The sequence below is a fragment of the Homo sapiens genome, chromosome 1, assembly GCF_000001405.40.
Source record: "Homo sapiens chromosome 1, GRCh38.p14 Primary Assembly".
NCBI classification, from domain to species: domain Eukaryota; kingdom Metazoa; phylum Chordata; class Mammalia; order Primates; family Hominidae; genus Homo; species Homo sapiens.
In genome coordinates, this window is record NC_000001.11 from 150,976,529 (window position 1) to 150,996,535 (window position 20,007).

General features: G+C 50.0%; 1 protein-coding gene and 1 long non-coding RNA gene across 10 annotated transcripts, besides 6 other annotated features; one reads left to right on the top strand and one right to left on the bottom strand.

The window, feature by feature from the left end:
• Positions 317-1,230: a transcriptional cis regulatory region, noted in NCBI's record as "candidate enhancer chr1.8492 targeted for multiplex CRISPR interference". NCBI's record gives its function as "positively regulates CERS2 gene expression with high confidence in K562 cells {active_cell/tissue: K562}" and the evidence as "EXISTENCE:mutant phenotype evidence [ECO:0000015][PMID:30612741]".
• Positions 317-1,462: a biological region, named in NCBI's record as "H3K4me1 hESC enhancers GRCh37_chr1:150949461-150949964 and GRCh37_chr1:150949965-150950466". NCBI's record gives its function as "regulatory_interactions: CERS2".
• Positions 457-960: an enhancer, noted in NCBI's record as "H3K4me1 hESC enhancer chr1:150949461-150949964 (GRCh37/hg19 assembly coordinates)". NCBI's record gives its function as "activates a minimal SCP1, AML or CMV promoter by ChIP-STARR-seq in primed H9 embryonic stem cells {active_cell/tissue: H9 hESC(primed)}" and the evidence as "EXISTENCE:reporter gene assay evidence [ECO:0000049][PMID:30033119]".
• ANXA9 (annexin A9) lies at positions 778-19,106 on the top strand. Of its 9 annotated transcripts, none has more exons than XM_047431991.1 (16): positions 1,095-3,217; positions 4,649-4,809; positions 5,773-5,851; positions 5,959-6,055; positions 6,562-6,652; positions 6,810-6,906; positions 7,447-7,541; positions 7,753-7,866; positions 8,058-8,148; positions 9,808-9,887; positions 10,074-10,133; positions 11,344-11,428; positions 11,563-11,658; positions 11,755-11,813; positions 18,049-18,171; positions 18,732-19,106. In XM_047431991.1, exons 5-16 carry the CDS (start codon positions 6,578-6,580, stop codon positions 18,792-18,794), a joined length of 1,038 nt encoding a protein of 345 aa, XP_047287947.1. In that variant the 5' UTR covers positions 1,095-3,217; positions 4,649-4,809; positions 5,773-5,851; positions 5,959-6,055; positions 6,562-6,577; the 3' UTR covers positions 18,795-19,106. The 9 variants fall into 9 exon arrangements, with proteins under 9 accessions (XP_047287945.1, XP_047287947.1, XP_047287953.1 ...); XM_047431997.1 differs by having other exon boundaries at positions 4,649-4,744; XM_047431989.1 differs by lacking the exon at positions 4,649-4,809 and having other exon boundaries at positions 778-3,217.
• Positions 961-1,462: an enhancer, noted in NCBI's record as "H3K4me1 hESC enhancer chr1:150949965-150950466 (GRCh37/hg19 assembly coordinates)". NCBI's record gives its function as "activates a minimal SCP1, AML or CMV promoter by ChIP-STARR-seq in primed H9 embryonic stem cells {active_cell/tissue: H9 hESC(primed)}" and the evidence as "EXISTENCE:reporter gene assay evidence [ECO:0000049][PMID:30033119]".
• On the bottom strand, positions 3,430-4,977 carry LOC105371438 (uncharacterized). Its single transcript, XR_922135.3, has 3 exons — positions 4,893-4,977; positions 4,676-4,785; positions 3,430-3,558 (listed from the first exon to the last, which is right to left on the bottom strand). It is a non-coding gene; the product is annotated as an uncharacterized LOC105371438 (long non-coding RNA).
• Positions 6,288-7,149: an enhancer, noted in NCBI's record as "H3K27ac-H3K4me1 hESC enhancer chr1:150955292-150956153 (GRCh37/hg19 assembly coordinates)". NCBI's record gives its function as "activates a minimal SCP1, AML or CMV promoter by ChIP-STARR-seq in naive H9 embryonic stem cells {active_cell/tissue: H9 hESC(naive)}" and the evidence as "EXISTENCE:reporter gene assay evidence [ECO:0000049][PMID:30033119]".
• Positions 19,448-19,667: an enhancer, noted in NCBI's record as "active region_1700". NCBI's record gives its function as "activates an Ori minimal core promoter by ATAC-STARR-seq in GM12878 lymphoblastoid cells {active_cell/tissue: GM12878}" and the evidence as "EXISTENCE:reporter gene assay evidence [ECO:0000049][PMID:35858748]".

The following is a 20,007-nucleotide window of genomic DNA, read 5'->3' on the forward strand; positions in this document are numbered from 1 at the left end:
TGCCTGATCTCCCAGTTTCCAGCAACCCCTCCAGCTGTGTTTTTCTCCTCCCTCCCTTATTAGCATATCTTCCATTGTATCTTTCTTTCCTTTCTTTTTTTTTTTTTTCCTTTGGAGAGGAGGTCTCACTCTGTCACTGCAGCCTCGACCTTCCAGGCTCAAGCTATCCTCCACCTCAGCCTCCCAAGTAGCAGGGACCACAGGCGACGCCACCATGCCCGGCTAATTTTTGTATTTTTGAGATTTCACCATGTCGCTCACGCTGGTCGTGAACTCCTGAGCTCAAACCATCCACCCGCCTTGGCCTTTCAAAGTGCTGGGATTACAAGCATGAGCCACCTTGCATCCCAATTGTCTCTTTCTACCCCCTTGGAACTCTCCTCCTTCAGCCTTCTAATTCCAAAGTTCCCTCTTCCTTTCTTCAGTGCTCTCCCCAGAGTCCTTATCTGCTACACACCTACACACCTTTTTTCCAGCATAGTTCCAGGGCTCTTTGGGCCGCAGCTCACCTTCGGGTCTCTAACACTCTCCACACCTCCGTCCTATTCATCTTCCTTCTTTTAGTTCTGAATCCCTTTCTTGTGGTTTTCCTAAGTGCCAGGCTTTCCTGTAGTCCCTACCAGACTTTTCAAATGCTTCCTCAGGAGAACTGAAGACTGGTTAACTTTTTTTTCTTTTTTTTAAGATAGCAGTGGGGAGGGGAAGTTCTGGGGCAGAAGTTGGATAACCAGGGCCTGAGAAATAAAGATAAGAGGGTATATTCCTCCCCCAGGAGACAAAAGAGAAGGTGGATGGAGAAGGGGAAACTGGGCCTCAGCCAGCACCGGGATGATGCGACCAGCTTTGTCAGCACGCTTGGGGAGCATACACACCGCTTGCCTTGGCTGGACCGGAGACTGTGATCACCACCCTTCCAACCCATCCCCCAACACGCAGGCTGGCATGGCCACGCCCACAGTGCCCCAAGTGCTGCCTGCCTTGCAGTGACTCACTTCCTCTGTATGGGCTGCTGAACTGTCCCAAGGAGAGGACAGGCCATCTCCAGGCCTTCAGCCCCGAGTTTAGATATCTGGGCAGGCTTTGTGGATGGGCAAGCATACAGGGAGCCCAAATGTGGAAGGTAGGTTTTTTCAGGTCAGGTGGAACTGTTAACACTGAAGCCTATTTGGGTAAGAAGCAGAGCCTAGCTAGTACCTAATGGAGATTCAGGGGCCAGGAGTATCGGGGAGGAAACATTTCCTAACAGAGAGGTAAAATAGCCAAGAGGAGTTTCTATGTATTCTGAAATCAGGCAATGGAAAGTATTTGCAGAAAAGCAATGTAGGGACCAGGCGTGGTGGCTTATGCCTGTAATCCCAACACTTTGGGAGGCCGAGGTGGGTGGATCACCTGCGGTCAGGAGTTCAAGACCAGCCTGCCCAACATGGTGAAACCTCATCTCTACTAAAAATACAAAAGTTAGCTAGGCATGGTGGCACATGCCTGTAGTTCCAGCTACTTTGGAGGCTGAGGCAGGAGAATTGCTTGAACCTAGGAGGGTGAGGTTGCAGTGAGCCGAGATCATGCCACTGCCCTCCAGCCTGGCAACAGAGTGAGACTCCATCTCAAAAATAAATAAAAGGCTGGGTGCAGTGATTCATGCCTATAATTCCAGCACTTTGGGAGGCCGAGGTGGGCGGATAACCTGAGGTCAAGAGTTTGGGACCAGCCTGGCCAACATGGTGAAACCCTGTCTCTACTAAAAATACAAAAATTAGCTGGGTGTGGTGGTGGGCCCTGTAATCCCAGCTACTCGGGAGGCTGAGGAAGGAGAATCACTTGAACCTGGGAGGCAGAGGTTACAGTGAGCTGAGATCACACCACTGCACTCCAGCCTGGGTGACAGAGTAAGACTCGGTCTCAATAAATAAATAAATAAAAGCAATGTGGGACTTGGAGGCTGAAGAGGTGGACATGCATGAACAGTGGAGGCGGTGTATGTGGCTGCCTTTCCCCTGTATTCCACTGAGAGGGAGCCCAAATCTGCCTCGCCTGCATTGAGGGATGAAGAAAACACTGAGAGGCAGCTGAGAAACATGGATGCTAGTTCCAACTCCATGGCCTCGGGAAGTCACTCAGACTCCTTGAGTCAGTAATGAAAAGGTAGTAGATTAGAGGCTGGGCGCAGTGGCTCATGCCTGTAATCCCAACACTTTGGGAGGCCGAGGTGGGCGGATCACAAGGTCAGGAGTTCAAGACCAGCCTGGCCAACATGGTGAAACACTGTCTCTACTAAAAATACAAAAATTAGCTGGGCATGGTGGTGCATGCCTGTAATCCCAGCTACTCAGGAGGTTGAGGCAGGAGAATTGCTTGAACCAGGGAGTCGGAGGTTGCAATGAGCCGAGATCGCGCCATTGCACTCTAACCTGGGCAACAGAGTGAGACTCTGTCTCAAAAAAAAGAAAAGAAAAGGTGGTAGATTAGATCCTCTCTAAGATTTCCTCCAACTCTGCAATTCTAAAATGTACAACATGGGGAAGGAAGGTGATCAGTACAACTGTAAACAACTGCAATCCGGCCCTGAAGTTGAACAAAACAAAACCTAGGGAGAGGAATGAGTTTGTAGCAGGTTTCAATGCAGCGATTGTGAACGCATCACACACACACTCCTCACAGGCAAGGACTTCGCTTCTGCCATGTGACTGAGACTCTGTTGGACTTCTCCAAATTCAGAGTTCAGCCTGGCATGCCGGCCAGGAGCCCCTTGGAGAGATTCGGCGTGAGGAAACAGGAGGCCTCACGCTTCCTTCGGTTCTCCCTAAATCTGCTGGGCAGGTAGCCAGAAGAAACTCTGAAGGGTACAGAAAGCCGAGGGCCAGGGGGACCCCGGCTGCGGAGCTGCAGTACCGTGTTTACCCAGCCTAACTGCGGTCACCCAGTCTCCTGCATGTGTCTGAGGTCAGCCTCGGGGGCTCCCCTGAGTAGGTATCTACCTGAGGCTCTTCCCCTGATGCTACCTGCATACCAATTCCACCCAGGAACCTGGCGTCCTCAGGAGGCTGCACTTCCCAAGTGGGCTGAGACAGCCCCTTAATATGTGGGGCTGGAGCCAGAGACCTCAAGGGGCCACTAGGGGGCTCGAGACTCTCAGTGGCTGCTGACGCCCTCTTGTGGCCATTTTGGGGATTGGCCAGAAAAGTTTCAGAAGCGAGCCAAGATCGGAATTCTTAAGGAGGTAAGTAATAACAACAGTAACAGTTACCATATAACAATACTTATCGTTATATATTTGATAACATTGTGACATTTCTACTTAACAGCGCTGTGCCCAGAACTCTTCTAAGTGCTTTATATGCACTGTAGTTATTTAATTCTCACAACAACCTATAACATAAACACTATTACTTGTCTGTTGATGATGAGGAAACTGAGCACAGAATAGTTGCCCAAGGTCACACAGAAGACCAGAATCCCGACTCTGAGAAGTCTGGCTCCAGAAGCTTTGCTTTTAGCCACCACGCTGAGACTGAGTTCCATTTTGGGGTTGTCAGGTGAAATACAGGACACACTGTTAAACTATAATTTCAGATAAACAAAAAATAATAATTACAGGCGGTGGCTCACGCCTGTAATCCCAGCACTTTGGGAGTCCAAGGCAGGTGGATCACGAGGTCAGGAGTTCGAGACCAGCCTGGCCAACATGGTGAAACCCTATCTCTACTAAGAATACAAAAAATTAGCCAGGCATGATGGCAGGCGCCTATAATCCCAGCTACTCGGGAGGCGGAGGCAGGAGAATCGCTTGAACCCGGGAGGTGGAGCTTGCAGTGAGCCAACATAATGCCACTGCACTCCAGCCTGGGCAACAGAGAGAGACTCCGCCTCAAAAAAAAAAATGTTAGTATATTTAATGAAATATTTGGGTCATACTTGTACCAACAAATGATTCCTCATTTACGTGAAATTCTGATTAAGCTGCATGTCCTGTATATTTATTTATTTAATCTAATACCCCTACTTTACAGGGCACTTTTCTCTGCCACATGCAATTACACAGATTACTTTTTTTTTTTTTTTTTTTTTTTGAGACGGAGTCTCACTCTGTCGCCCAGGCTGTGGAGTGCAGTGGCGCCATCTCAGCTCACTGCAACCTCTGCCTCCCAGGTTCAAGTGATTCTCCTGCCTCAGCCTCCCGAGTAGCTGGGATTACAGGCATGCGCCGCCATGCCCGGCTAATTTTTTGTATTTTTAGTAGAGACGGGGTTTCACTGTGTAAGCCAAGGCTGGTCTCGATCTCCTGCCTCATGATCCACCCGCCTCGGCCTCACAAAGTGCTGGGATTACAGGCATGAGCCACCGTGCCTGGCCACATTACCTTATTTATTTATTTATTTATTTATTTATTTTTATGAGTTCAATAGTTTTTGGGGACAAGGTGGTGTTTGGTTACATGGATAAGTTCTTTAGTGGACACATTACTTCATTTAATCATCCCAGGAAACCTGTCCTCGGAGGCCCCAGCATGTCCCACAGCCTCCGTCTCTCTCAATCCTCCCATTTAGAGAGCTGAAAGGACTAGCGAAGCTTACAGAACATAGGTGGCAGAGCTGGATATTGAACCCTCATTCTCCAGTTCTGACACAGGTGCATGTTTTCCTTTTAACAGGAGAGAAAAGTGAGGAGCAGTGATTACCGCCACAGAAATATCCTTTCATGGCGTGTCCTCCGGCATGGTCTACTCAGTGTGGTGGAGCCACTGCAGGTCCCTCCTCCAGGGATGTAGGAATGCCAGTGAAGGCCTTCCTGAGTTGGGAGAGAGGCAGAGGAGTGAGTGGAGGCAGGGCTGTAGCTTCTGTGCCCCGCCCCTACCCAGGCTCTCCAGGGAGGCAGGAAAGAGGCTGTGTTTAGACCTGAGGGAGCCAGCTGTGAGGCTGGAGCAGTTGCTGCATGGCGGGGCGGGGGCTCCACAGGGCTGTTCACCTGCTGCTCTGTGCAGAGACAGCCTCAAGTCCAGCTGCTGGGGTTGCATCACCTGCAGCTAAAACAGCCACAGGGCCCAGGCTGCCAAAAGGCAACAGAAGCAATCTAAGAAACCAGGCAAGGGAGCCTCCCCCATCTCCCTGTTGCCTTTTGGGAGCATAGAGCTTCCCTCTGAAGGTAACACCCTTTGCATTTTTCTCTCTTGACTCTGTTCATCAACTTCCACTCCCAAATACTTGTGCCCTTCCTTCTCCACAGATATACACAATCCCTGGGCACTCTCCACCTAGGTCAGCTGGCTCTAGTAAGGCAGCAGTCAAGGGAGTTTCTGGGCTGGGACCCCCTCTGGGGTGCAGGCTGGGGTGCCCTGCTGGTATGTGCCCCAACAGGTTTTTCCCTATCAGCCTTGAAATCAGCCTGCAGCCTGTCTGACCTGCCCCCCAGGGAGCTGGAGCCAGAGGCAGAGCCAGGTCAGAAGCTGGGGCAGAGCCAGGTCAGAAGCTGGACTTTGAGACTAGGTCTCTGTGGTCCCACCTGGACCCACAGGGAAGGCAGTGCATAAAAGCCTCCTGTGTTTGAGGCTGAGCCGCTGAGAGGCTGAGTGGAGTTCACTCACATGGATTGAGGCCCAGTTCCTGGGAGAAGAGATGCTGGGCAGGAAGGTGTCTGCATGTGGGACTCTGTACAGCCCGGTCCTCTCCCACGTCTGGGAGGGGCCAGAGTCAGACAACTGCTGGGTTCGTCCCTAAGAGAGGTCATCTGACTGGCTGTTCAGCCTAGGCTGCACACACCCCCACTTTCCTCTACCAGGCCACACCGGAGGCAGTGCTCACACAGGCAAGCTACCAGGCCACAACAACGACACCCACCTCACCTCTGGCACCTCTGAGTAAGTACTGGGCCCACGGCCCCATGCCAGGAGGGCTTGTTGATTGCTTGGGGGAGGGAAAAATGAGTTTTCCTTTTCCAACATGAGAGTGCCTCCTTTCTGTCCAGGCATCCACGTACTTGCAAGAACTCTTGCTCACATCAGCTAAGAGATTGCACCTGCTGACCTAGAGATTCCGGCCTGTGCTCCTGTGCTGCTGAGCAGGTAGGCAGCTGTACAGGCAGGAATTGAGGGTTGCTTGTCAGCTGGGGCTGCCGGTGGGGGAAGATGCTATTTCGAGTTGTCTTCCACTCTGCGTGGTTAATCCTGCCACCTCACCTCAGCTCCCCTGCACTGCCCAGGAGACCCCAGCCAGGCCCAGGAAGGAGGGCCATAGACCTCAGAAGGGAGGCATCTACCGCGGACCAAGGCCTGAGGAGCTTTGGTGCTGACCCTGGCATCAGGGAGGGTTGGCGCCTGGTCCAGGAGCATTCCGCATCAATCCCCACTTCCTAAAGGAGTGGGGAGAGGTGGGGAAGGTGGGGGCTCCCCTCTTACCTCACCATTTCAGCTCCATTTCTGGCTCCAAGCCTAAGCAGGTTGATCTTTTTTTCTGCAGCAAGGAAAGGAACAGGTGACTGGAACCCAGGGTCCAGGGTCTCGGGGGGGTCATAAGGAGTCCCTGAAGGGCCAGGAAATTCAGCTCTGTGGGCTCCTGTTTCCTTCCCCAGGGCAACCAGTAGCACCATGTCTGTGACTGGCGGGAAGATGGCACCGTCCCTCACCCAGGAGATCCTCAGCCACCTGGGCCTGGCCAGCAAGGTAGGGGCTGTTGGGATTTTAGAGATCACTTTTAGTATCTCAGCTCGGGCTGTGAGAGGATGGGAGGCAGGAAAGTGGAGGACAGGCCCTGAGGTTATGCTGAGGAGGTGTAGGCAGCCTGGCCCTGGCCCTTGCCAACTACCCTGTGCTCCCACAGACTGCAGCGTGGGGGACCCTGGGCACCCTCAGGACCTTCTTGAACTTCAGCGTGGACAAGGATGCGCAGAGGCTACTGAGGGCCATTACTGGCCAAGGTGAGCCCCTTTCCCCCGGCACTTGAGACTGCCTTTTAGAGCCAATCTGTAGACCAAGGAGGAGCCAGGAAGGAGGAACTAGTGATGTTGGAGAAATGTTTGTGGAATGCCTTCATTCTTGTATGTCAGGCGCCACAGTAGGTGTGTCAAACCCATTCTCACAACACCCCTGTGAGGCAAGGCTTATTATTTCCATTTTCCAGATGAGGAAACTGGGGCTCAGGGAGATTAAGAGGCTTGCCCAAGGTCACTCAGCTCATGACGGAGGTGGTATTCTCATCTAGGTCAGCCGATCCCCCCAAGTCGTATTTTTTTTTAACCACCACACCAGGCCACCTTTGCCTTGGTCTGGGTCAGATTTGCATGCTGTTTTGACATTTTATTTGCAACTTCTTTTGAGATAAAATGGAAGTGGGGGTGATATAGCCCCTGCTCCTTTCCTTCCCAGCCCTCTCCTGGAGCGCCTTCCCTCCTCCAAGGAGTAGGAACATCCCACTATGTAAAGACCCTGCTCACAGCACAGCCCTCATCTCGGTTCAGGCGTGGACCGCAGTGCCATTGTGGACGTGCTGACCAACCGGAGCAGAGAGCAAAGGCAGCTCATCTCACGAAACTTCCAGGAGCGCACCCAACAGGTGAGGCCATGCTGACCTCCCACAGCAGTGGACTGGGGTGAGAAACCCCCTGGAGGACTCGAGAGACAGCAACAGCCGCTGAGGCCAGCCCCTGCTTCCTGGCTAAACAGGGCCTGAGATGAAAACCAGCCAAATCTTCCCAAACCTCCCCACACTTCTGGGGCCCTTCCCCTCACCCCCGTCCCTCTGCTGTGAGGACCATTTATTGTAGGACCTGATGAAGTCTCTACAGGCAGCACTTTCCGGCAACCTGGAGAGGATTGTGATGGCTCTGCTGCAGCCCACAGCCCAGTTTGACGCCCAGGAATTGAGGACAGCTCTGAAGGTAGCAGGAGGGGAGACTTGCTGGGGTGTCTGGGGAAGGGAGAAGGCTGTCAGCCTTGCTTTTGCAAGACGAGAGTCCCCCTCTCGTCGTCCCATATTGTTTCTTAGAAGGAGAAGCAGCCAGCGTCTGCCCCTCTGTCTGCCATCCTAATGACACGGCCAGTCTGAGAGTAGACTCCCAATTTCTTGTAGGCCTCAGATTCTGCTGTGGACGTGGCCATTGAAATTCTTGCCACTCGAACCCCACCCCAGCTGCAGGAGTGCCTGGCAGTCTACAAACACAGTAAGAATATAGAGGGAGGGGTCCCAGATGCTGGAGAAGGGGCTGTAGGACAGGCCACTCCTCTCCTGTACTCCCCATAGGTGAGCTATCTGGCAACCTGGCTGCCTAAGTTCTATTCCCTTGGGGTCTTTCCTCTTGCCCCCACCAGTGCCTCAGTCTCTCAGGGGAGAGACCCAGATGTGATCATTAAAAAAAGAGAAGCAGGCCAGGTACGGTGACTCATGCCTGTCACCCCAACACTTTGGGAGGCTGAGGTGGGCAGGTCACTTGAGCCCAGGAGTTCAAGACCAGTCACAGGCAATAAAGGAAAACCTCATCTGTGCTAAAAATTCAAAAAAACCAGCTGGTCATGGTGGTGTGCGCCTGTGGTCCCAGCTACTCAGGAGTTTGAGGTGGGAGGATCACCCCAGCTTGGGAAGTTGAGGCTGCAGTGAGCTGAGATCGTGCCACTGCCACTGCACACCAGCCTGGGTGACAGGAGTGAGAGCATGTCTCTCTCTCTCTCTCTCTCTCTCACACACACACACACACACACACACACACAAATAAAGAGAGAGAAGCAATGATTAACCATCTTAATCTGGAGCTCCAAGGCAGATTCCAAAGTGACAGTCCCAAAGGTACTCATGTCACCTTCCCAGCCCCTTGCCATCCCTGCCATCACACCACATTCCAAGCTGAACCCAGCCATGCTGCAGCCTGAGGAAAAGGTGGGAATCTGCCCTCTGAGTCATGGGTGTCACCTTTCATGTCCCTGATGGCTGGCCTTGCTTGGCTACAAGTGTCTCACCCACTAATTTGTGGCTTTTTCCCATCCTCATCTTACCACCCCTTCCCCCCACCCCTACCTCTTTTTCTTGCTTTCCCCAATTTTCCTTTGATGTCTAATCTTGGCCTATGTTCTTCTTTTGAGACAAGGTCTTGCCCTGTAGCCTAGGCTGTGCAGTGATGTCATCATGGCTCACTGCAGCCTTGACCCTTCTGGGCTCAATCAGTCCTCCCACCTCAGCCTCCTAAGTAGCTGGGACTACAGGTGTGCCACCACCATGCCCAGCTAAATTTTGTATTTTTTGTAGAGATGGGGTTTCGCTGTGTTGTCCAGGCTGGTCTCGAACTTCTGGGCTCAAGCCATCTCCTGCCTCAGCCTCTGAAAGTGCTGGGATTACAAGCATGAGCCACCGCCCTGGCCGTGGCCTATGTTCTTAATCCCTCTCCTACCTTCCTTCCTTCTTGCATCTGTTTCCCTTTTCTCTTTCTTTTTCTCCCTTTCCTGCTCTTTTCCTTCCTCATATCCCACCTCTCATATCATTTTTCCTTACCTCCAATGAGGGTGCCAGGTCCTAACCATCTTGTGTTATAATACGGGTTTCCCTAGCTCTTCTTCACTGCCTGGCCCCAACTCTAATAATGGTTGCCTCCTGCCCAGCAGGTTGGTGCTTGGTGATGAAGCCACTGCACACCTCACAACTTAGAGATGTTTTTAGAGTGGCCGTGATGGTACTTGTGCCTTACATCCTGGGAATTAGCAGCCATCAAGCTACTCCAAGCAGGGGCTAGCAGGGCTGGCAGGGTATAGCGGGTCAGGCATTTGGCAGGTCCTGGGGATATCTACACTAGGAAAACTCAGGAGGATTCAGAGAGCTCCTCACCCCACCCCAGATTTCCAGGTGGAGGCTGTGGATGACATCACATCTGAGACCAGTGGCATCTTGCAGGACCTGCTGTTGGCCCTGGCCAAGGTGAGGAGGACTGACCTGCAAGGAAGGGAGTCACGTTCACCAGGCAAGGAGACACGCTGGAGCAGGGAGCATTGCTGTCCTGTAATGGACAAGAGAGGGCTTTAGGGGAGACCAGCCTTCGCTTGTTGGTCTGAAGATAAAAAGGTGCCCTTCAAAGAGCCCTCTAAGAACAGTTTCTCCTCCTAGGGGGGCCGTGACAGCTACTCTGGAATCATTGACTATAATCTGGCAGAACAAGATGTCCAGGTGAGCAGGGGGTTTAGGAGTGTGCACAGCCGCCATGCACATAAGATGCCTTCCTCCACCATATCTTAGAGCCGGTGACCTACGTGCCCATTTTTCCCGCAAACCCATCCCTGCCTTGGAGAGGGAGTTCTCAGTTATGTGGTAGGGGCAGGAGGTGTCAGGTAGCGTCATAGCTGAAGCCTTTTCACTCATCTAGCCTCTGACTCCTGAGCTCATCAACTGACATATTCTCCTCTCATGAGCGTTTGGGGGCAGAAAGCCTCCTCAGACCTTTTGGGGATTATTTAATCCTCGGGTACCAGGATTTTTCCAAATCAGTGAATAGAGCTGTGAGGCTGTAAGGGCAGAGCCCTCTCTTAGCCCTATTTCTTTCTTAAAAAATAAAAAACATAAGATAAAAAAACATAAATAAAAACAACTAGTAGGCCAGGCATGGTGGCTTATACCTGTAATCCCAGCACTTTGGGAGGCTGAAACAAGAGGATCACTTGAGCCCAGGAGTCCAAGACCAGCCTAGGCAACATAGTGAGACTCTATCTCCACAAAATATTTTTAAAAATTAGCTGCACCTGTAGTTCCAGCTAGCTAGGAGGCTGAGGTGGGAGGATCGCTTGAGCCTGGGAAGTTGAGGCTGAGGTAAGCCCTGGTCATGCCACTGCACTCCAGCCTGGGTGACAGAGAGAGACCCCATCTCTCTCGCTCTCTCTCTCTCTCTCTCTCACACACACACACACACACACACGCACACACACAAACCTAGTTTACGGGTTAAAATAAACTTTCTGGCTGGTCGTGGTGGCTCACACCTATAATCCCAACAATTTGGGAGGCCGAGACAGGTGGATCACTTGAGGTCAGGAGTTCGAAACCAGCCTAGCCAACATGGTGAAACCCCGTCTCTACTAAAAATACAAAAATTAGCCAGGCATGATGGTGAGTGCCTGTAATCCCAGCTACTCAGGAGGCTGAGCCTGGAGAATCACTTGAACCTGGGAGGCAGAGGTTGTGGTGAGCTGGGATCACACCATTGCACTCCAGCCTGGGTGACAGAATGAGAGTCCTTCTCAAAAAAAAAAAAAAAAATCCTTTTCCACCCTCAATCCCATTTCCATCATGATGATGATAGATTCTGGAACGTCATACCCATGGCTCCCTAGGCCCCAACCAATGATCCTGATTGACTCCTCCCTGACTCATTCCTCCCTCCTAGGCACTGCAGCGGGCAGAAGGACCTAGCAGAGAGGAAACATGGGTCCCAGTCTTCACCCAGCGAAATCCTGAACACCTCATCCGAGGTACACACAAGCCTTCTTGTCCCCCTAGCTTGCTCTAATGATCAGTTTGGGCTGAGGAAGGTGGGGAGGGCCCATCCTTTCCAGAGATAATTAATCCCCCATCCATCTTTCTAACTGCCTCCTACACACACAAGTGTTTGATCAGTACCAGCGGAGCACTGGGCAAGAGCTGGAGGAGGCTGTCCAGAACCGTTTCCATGGAGATGCTCAGGTGGCTCTGCTCGGCCTAGGTAGGGGCCTGCTCAGGATTTGTGAAGTAAGTCTCTCTTGGGATGGGAGATTGTGGTCCTAGTTGTGAACCTCCATCCTTCCATCTTTGTTTCCAGCTTCGGTGATCAAGAACACACCGCTGTACTTTGCTGACAAACTTCATCAAGCCCTCCAGGTGAGAGGGGCACTCCTTTCCCTCCCCAGAACAGAAACTGGGGAGGAGAGAGGAAGTCTCAGCTTGCTGCTTATGTAACCATCCTATATACACCGTCTAAACCTCAAGCCGCTCTCCTTCCCAGGGCTTACACACCAGGGCTTACACAGGGGTGGAGGAATGAGCTGTGGTGAGAACTAACTTAGTTGGCTCCCAGGGGCCCTGAAACTAACATTTTGGCCTTGTTAATGTCTAGGTGGCCAAATAGAGATATGAATCTGCTCTGTAAGACAGTGCCTTGTGCAGGCTTAGTTGTTGCCAGAGTGATGGTGATAACACTAGCAAGAATAATGACAAGGGCTGGCATTTTGCAGGTGCTGATTGTGTGCCACAGCCTATCCTGAGCAGGGCACACATATTTCAATTAATCCTCACAACCATATCCATCCGTATCTTATAGATGAAAAAACTGAAGCCCAGAGAAGTTAAGTACCTTGCTTGAGGTCACGTAGCTAGTAAGTTATACAGTCTCCCTACACAACACTTCACGATGTAAGATATTGACCATCCTTGTCAGCTATACGATAAGTGCTCTTAGCACCCAAGGCCCCCTTTCTCCACGCTGGTCAGATTTTGTTCCACATTATCCATACTTTTTTTTTTTTTTTTGAGATGGAGTTTCACTCTTGTTGCCCAGGCTGGAGGCTGGAGTGCAGTGGCACAATCTCGGCTCATGGCAACCTCCGCCTCCTGGATTCAAGCGATTTTCCTGCCTCAGCCTCCCAAATAGCTGGGATTACAGGCGCCCGCCACCACATTATCCTAATTTTTTGTATTTTTAGCAGATGCGGTTTCACCATGTTGGTCAGGCTGGTCTCAAACTCCTGACCTCAGGTCATCAACCTGTCTCGGCCTCCCGAAGTGCTAGGATTACAGGCGTGAGCCACTGCGCCCAGCCCATATTATCCGTACTTAAACTGCTGACTGTGGCTTGAGTGCTTCCACCAATAGAATCCAGTTATTCTGTTGATTGAATTAGGTCTCCTATTAGTAGAACTGTCCCCCAAAATCTATAAATAAAAAGTTCAGGAAGGGCGCAGTGGCTCACGCCTATAATCCCAGCACTTTGGGAGGCCAAGGTGGATGGATCACTTGAGGTCAGGAGTTCGAGACCAGCCTGGCCAACGTGGTGAAACCCTGTCTCTACTAAAAATACAAAAATTAGCCAGGCATGGTGGCAGGCACCTGTAATTCCAGCTACTTGGGAGTCTGAGGCAGGAGAATTGCTTGAACCTGGGAGGCGGAGGTTGTAGTGAACCAAGATCACGCCACTGCACTCCAGCCTGGGTGACACAGTCAGACTAAAAAAGTAGTTATCATTTTGGCAGATGGAATAGCTTTCTGTAGACTGGTTGAGAAGCCATCATGCCATGTTGATGATTGCCCAAAAGTTAGTAAATATAAGCAATTGTTCTGTCATCTAGAGATTTCTATCTTGACAGTAGATTATTATACTTGCCCAATAAAGCCTGTATGATTATAATGAGTCAACACTAAGATTCATTTGAAGAGTTGTACTTATCTGTCCAAATTCCTGTCATAAATACAAACTATCCCAGCAGTAGATGATTTTGTAGTGTATTTGGATTACAAGACCCACACTCTTGAGTGTAGATAAAAGATTTATCTTAGAAGTAGTAGTCAGGGGCCAAGCATGGTGGCTCACACCTGTAATCCTAGCACTTTGGGAAGCTAAGGTGGGAGGATCGCTTGAGGTCAGGAGTTCAAGACCAACTTAGGCGACATAGCAAGAACTCGTCTCTACAAAAATAAGAAGAAAATTTGCCAGGCATGGTGGCACCTGCCTCTAGTCCCAACTACTCAGGAGGATGTGGTGGGAGGATTGCTTGAGCCCATGAATTAGAAGTTACAGTGAGCTGTGATTACTCCACTGCACTTCAGCCTGGGTAACAGAGCAAGACCCTGTCTCAAAAAAAGAAAAAAAGAAGTGGTAGTCAGAAAATAACATAGGCCCATTTTTCTGAAAAAAAAAATTTTTTTTTTGAGATAGAGTCTGGCTCTGTTGCCTAGGCTGGAGTGCAGTGGCGTGATCTCAGCTCACTGCAGCCTTCACCTTCTGGGTTCAAGTGATTCTCTGGCCTCTGTGTCTTAAGTAGCTGGGATTACAGGCGTAGGCCACCATATCTGGCTAATTCTGAATTGTTTCTAAAAAGGAAAAACTCGGGCTGGGCGCTGTGGCGCATGCCTGTAATCCCAGGACTTTGGTAGGCTGAGGCGGGTGGATTATTTGAGGCCAGGAGTTCAAGACCAGCCTGGCCAACATGGTGAAACCCCATCTCTACTAAAAATACAAAAATTAGCCAGGGGGTAGTGGTGAGCGCCTGTAATCTCAGCTACTTGGGAGGCTGAAGCAGGAGAATCTCGAGCCTGGGAAGCAGAGGTTGCGGTCAGCCGAGGTGACGCCACTGCGCTCCAGTCTGGGTGACAAAGTGAGACCTGCCTCAAAAAAAATAAATAAACAGGCCAGGCGCGGTGGCTCATGCCTGTAATCTCAGCACTTTGGGAGGCCAAGGCGGGCGGATCACGAGGTCAGGAGATCGAGACCATCCTGGCTAACAAGGTAAAACCCTGTCTCTACTGAAAATACAGAAATTAGCCAGGCGTGGTAGCGGGCGCCTGTAGTCCCAGCTACGCTGGAGGCTAAGGCAGGAGAATGGCTTGAACCCAGGAGGCGGAGCTTGCAGTGAGCCGAGATCGCGCCACTGCACTCCAGCCTGGGCAACAGAGTGATGCTCCATCTCTAAAAAAAAAATAATAATAATAAATAAATAAACAAATATAAAATAAATAAATAAGGAAAAAATCATGATACATCTGTATTATTCTTTTTATTTATTTTTATTTTTATTTTTTTAGATCGAGTCTCACTCTGTCGACCAGGCTGGAGTGCAGTGGCGCGATCTCGGCTCATTGCAACCTCCGCCTCCCGAGTTCAAGCGATTCTTCTGCCTCAGCCTCCCGAGTAGCTGGGATTACAGGCGCTCACCACCATGCCTGGCTAATTTTTGTGTTTTTAGTAGAGACGGAGTTTCACCATGTTGGTCAGGCTGGTCCTTAACTCCTGATCTCGTGATCCACACGCCTCAGCCTCCCAAAGTGCTGGGATTACAGGCCTGAGCCAAGGTGCCCGGCCTTCTTCTTCTTCTTTTTTTTTCCTTTGAGATGGAGTCTCACTCTGTCGCTAGGCTGGAGTGCAGTGGCACGATCTTGGCTCACTGCAACCTCCACCTCCTGGGTTCAAGCAATTCTCCTGCCTCACCCTCCCAAGTAGCTGGAACTATAGTTGCCCGCCACCACATCCGGCTAATTTTTTTGTTTTTAGTAGAAACAGGGTTTCACCACGTTGGCCACGCTGGTGGCAAACTTTTTTTTTTTTCTTTTTTAAGATGGAGGCTTGCTCTGTCACCCAGGCTGGAGTGCAATGGCGCGATCTTGGCTCACTGCAACCTCTGCCTCCTGGGTTCCAGCAATTCTCCTGCCTCAGCCTCCTGAGTAGCTGAGATTACAGGCGCCCGCCACCACGCCCGGCTAATTTTTGTATTTTTAGTAGAGACAGGGTTTCACCATGTTGACCAGGCTGGTCTCAAACTCCTGGCCTCAGGTGATCCACCAGCCTCAGTCTTCCAAAGTGCTGGGATTACAGGCGTGAGCCACCGTGTCCAGCCTGTATTATTCTTTTATGAGAGATATGTAGATATATGAAAACATAAATTGTGAAGAATATTTATTCAGAAAAACAACCTTCAGAAAATCAGCAATGGCTGATTCAGGACAAATTTCCACCAATCTGTAGTAAAAATTAATGTTCCTGGTGAAGATCCTAGGGCCATATGCAATGCCAGGTATACGATTAAGTATTATAATTAGGCCAGGCATGGTGGCTCATGCCTGTAATCCCAGCACTTTGGGAGGCCAAGGCAGGTGAATCACCCGAGGTCAGGAGTTCGAGACCAGACTGACCAACATGGTGAAACCCCGTCTCTACTAAATATACAAAATTAGCTAGGTGTGGTGGTGTGCACCTGTATTTCCAGCTACTTGGGAGGCTGAGATAGGAGAATTGCTTGAACCTGGGAGGCAGAGGTTACAGTGACCTGAGATCGCACCACTGCACCCCAGCCTGGGTAACAGAGTGAGACTCCATCTAAACAAACAAACCATATATATATATGCTGAAGCGAGCAGATCACTTGAGGTCAGGAGTTTGAGACCAGCCTGGCCAACATGGTAAAACCCCACCTGTACTAAAAATAAAAAAATTAGCTGGGCGTTTGGCACATGCTATAGTCCCAGCTGCTTGGGAGGCTGAGGCAGGAGACTTGCTTGAACCTGGGAGGCGGAGGTTGCAGTGAGCTGAATTCACGCCACTGCATTCCACTCTGGGTGACAGAGCAAGAAAAAAGAATACTTGTACAACAATGAGAGTATTCAGTTAATGAGTGACTCTTGCCCAATTCTGTAACTTTAGAGTAACAAGCGTTGGAAGAAGAGAAGAATGGATACTGGGGAGCAATTGGCAATCTTTATGACAATACAAAACTAATGATGCATAAAAGTTAAAATGAAGTAGACATTAGGTCCACTGACAATTAGGTAATGAGTCTAAATGAATTGGAGCATCCTGTTTTACTTCATTTTCTTTTGTTTTGTCAAAGGAGTTTATGATCTATTGGGATGCCCTAAGTATGTGTTGTAGGCAGTTCTGGGAAGAGTCTTGTGAGTAAAGTGACTCAGGAAACTCTGAAAATGAGGATATTAGGAATTGATGACAACACTGGTGCACAGAAAAAAAAAAACACAGGAATTTTACAATTAAAAGTTTTTATTTAAAAATCTCTCATAACAACACATTACTTAGTATAATCAATTATAATTCAGGATTTTGATGACTTGTACCTGTGTTATTTCTTTTCTTTTCTTTTTTTTTGAGACGGAGTCTTGCTCTGTCCCAGGCTGGAGTGCAGTGGTGTGATCTCAGCTTACTGCAACGTCCGCCTCCCAGGTTCAAGCAATTCTCCTACCTCACCCTCCTCAGTAGCTGGGATTATAGGCGCCTACCACCACACCTGGCTAATTTTTGTAGTTTTAATAGAGACGGGGGTTTCACCATGTTGGCCAGGCTGGTCTCGAACTCCTGACCATAAATGATCTGCTTGCCTTGGCCTCCCAAAATTCTGGGATTACAGGCATGAGCCACCACACCTGGCCTGTTATTTCTTTTTTCTTTCTTTCTTTTTTTTTTTTTTTTTTGAGACGGAGTTTTGCTCTTCTTGCCCAGGTTGGAGTGCAGTGGCGCGATCTCAGCTCACTGCAACCTCCGCCTCCTGGGTTCAAGCAATTCTCCTGCCTCAGCCTTCCAAGTAGCTGGGATTGCAGGCACCCACCACCATGCCTGGCTTATTTTTGTATTTTTAGTAGAGACGGGGTTTCACCATTTTGGTCAGGCTGGTCTCGAACTCCTACCTCAGATGATCCACGCGCCTCATCCTCCCAAAGTGCTGGGATTACAGGCATGAGCCACTGTGCCTGGCCTGTTATTTCTAAACTGAACCTTTCATTACTTTCTTTAGCCAAAAAACAGGCCTGCTGCATGTACAGGAGGAAGATAGCAATGTTTCAGCCTAAGGGTCCAACCGGAGAAACTAATATGCAGAGATGGGGCTGTGAGATGGCCCTATTGGGTTGGAATCAGAACTAGAAGTCACACAACCTTGAACCCTATCAGAGCCTCATCAGCTCAGTTTAGGGATAGGGCAGGTATATCCTCCTTGGATATTCACTAACTTGAAAGTTAAAAGCAGTTTTCCTGGTTTTCATGCTGGCAGTCTTTATATGCACCAAATCTTTTCTAGCCTTCCTGGTGTACCTATCTTTGGAGCTGCTCACCACCAAATTCTGGAGGTACACAGCTCTAAGCTAATGGTAGGGGCAGGAAAGACATGTGGAAAGAAATAAATACTCAAGCTGCCCCCACAGAGACTGATCTTTCCTGCTGTGTCATCTTCCTTGAGGATGGACAAACATAACTTTTGTCCCGAGATAATGTATAATGTACACTCTTATCCCTTGACTCCCACCTTGCCTCCCCTTCCTACAATAACCCTCCAAGCCATTCAACCCCTACTCTCAGTGAGACTCTCACTAACTACCCCCCATCTCTTTCTTCCCCTACTAGGAAACTGAGCCCAATTACCAAGTCCTGATTCGCATCCTTATCTCTCGATGTGAGACTGACCTTCTGAGTATCAGAGCTGAGTTCAGGAAGAAATTTGGGAAGTCCCTCTACTCTTCTCTCCAGGTGAAACTTGGCTACTTCTTAGCCTGGAGCCTCAGGCCTTCACTCCTCACCTCCACCCTCACTCCCTGCACACAGCTGAGCATATTCTTGCCCCATAGAAAACCCAGTAGTTAGCCAGGCACAGTGGCTCACGCCTGTAATCCCAGCACTTTGAGAGGCTGAGGTGGGCGGATCACGAGGTCAGGAGTTCAAGACCACCCTGACCAACATGGTGAAACCCCGTCTCTACTAAAAATACAAAAATTAGCCAGGCATGGTGGCGTGCACCTGTAATCCCAGCTACTCAGGAGGCTGAGGCAGGAGAGTCGCTTGAACCCAGAAGGCAGAGGTTGCAGTGAGCCAAGATCGTGCCACTGCACTCCCACCTGGGTGACAGGGCAAGACTCCATCTTAAAAAAGAAAACCCAGGAGTCTTTGGTTAATGTAGTGCAGGACTCTGAGCTCCCGGGAGGACCCTTCCCTCCCAGATGAACTGTGATGGACCAGCCCAAAGGAGGGGAGAGAGCACTTGGGCCATAGTGGTGGTGGATCTTTCTAACACTGAATTCCCTTGTCTGCAGGATGCAGTGAAAGGGGATTGCCAGTCAGCCCTCCTGGCCTTGTGCAGGGCTGAAGACATGTGAGACTTCCCTGCCCCACCCCACATGACATCCGAGGATCTGAGATTTCCGTGTTTGGCTGAACCTGGGAGACCAGCTGGGCCTCCAAGTAGGATAACCCCTCACTGAGCACCACATTCTCTAGCTTCTTGTTGAGGCTGGAACTGTTTCTTTAAAATCCCTTAATTTTCCCATCTCAAAATTATATCTGTACCTGGGTCATCCAGCTCCTTCTTGGGTGTGGGGAAATGAGTTTTCTTTGATAGTTTCTGCCTCACTCATCCCTCCTGTACCCTGGCCAGAACATCTCACTGATACTCGAATTCTTTTGGCAAACTTCGCTGTTGTTTGTGTTCCCTGATTGAAGGTTGGGTGGAGCAGGACATGGACCGGGAAGAGGCACTGGAGTTGGAAGTGCCTTTGATGTGCACTTGGCTATTCCGCAGGAATCCTGTTTTGCCTTAGTGCTACAGTAATCCACACCCAGGTCTCCCACTCCAGGTCTCCCCTCACCCTCATTCTCCAGGAAACTTCAGGCAAAATAATTGAGAAACAGGCATTAGAACAAGGTGAGAAATAGAGGGAGCAAAGGACCATCTGTATGAACTGGGAAGCAAGCGGAGGGCCAAGCTACCCTCCCCAGCATGGGAATTCTTGGGTTAGTGGAGAGCACAACCCTCAAATTCATGTGTCCAAGCAGAGATTTGGAAACCCACCTCCCAGGAGAGCACTATTTCCCATAGAAAACAAAAACAAAAACAGAAACAAAAACAAAAAGTCAGGCTTTGGTTCCCCCTGCAGGCTATATTAGAAATGACAGGTAGCTGGGCGCAGTGGCTCACGCCTGTAATTCCAGCACTTCGGGAGGCCAAGGCAGGCGGATTACTTGAGGTCAGGAATTCAAGACTAGCCTGACCAAAGTGGCGAAACCGTCTCTACTAAAAATACAAAAATTAGCTGGGCGCAGTGGCGCATGCCTGTAGTCCCAGCTACTCAGGAGGCTGAGGTAGGAGAATCGCTTGAATCCGGGAGGCGGAGGTTGCAGTGAGCTCAGATTGCACCACTGCACTCCAGCCTGGGCAATACAGCGAGGCTCCATCTCAAAAAAAAAAAAAAAAGAAAAAAAGAAATGACAGGTAACCACCTTCCTGCCTCTGACCCACCTCCCGCTTTTTGCATTCTTCAATTGGGTCAAATACTTAACCCTATTGCTTCAGGGTAAGGCAAACAACAGATC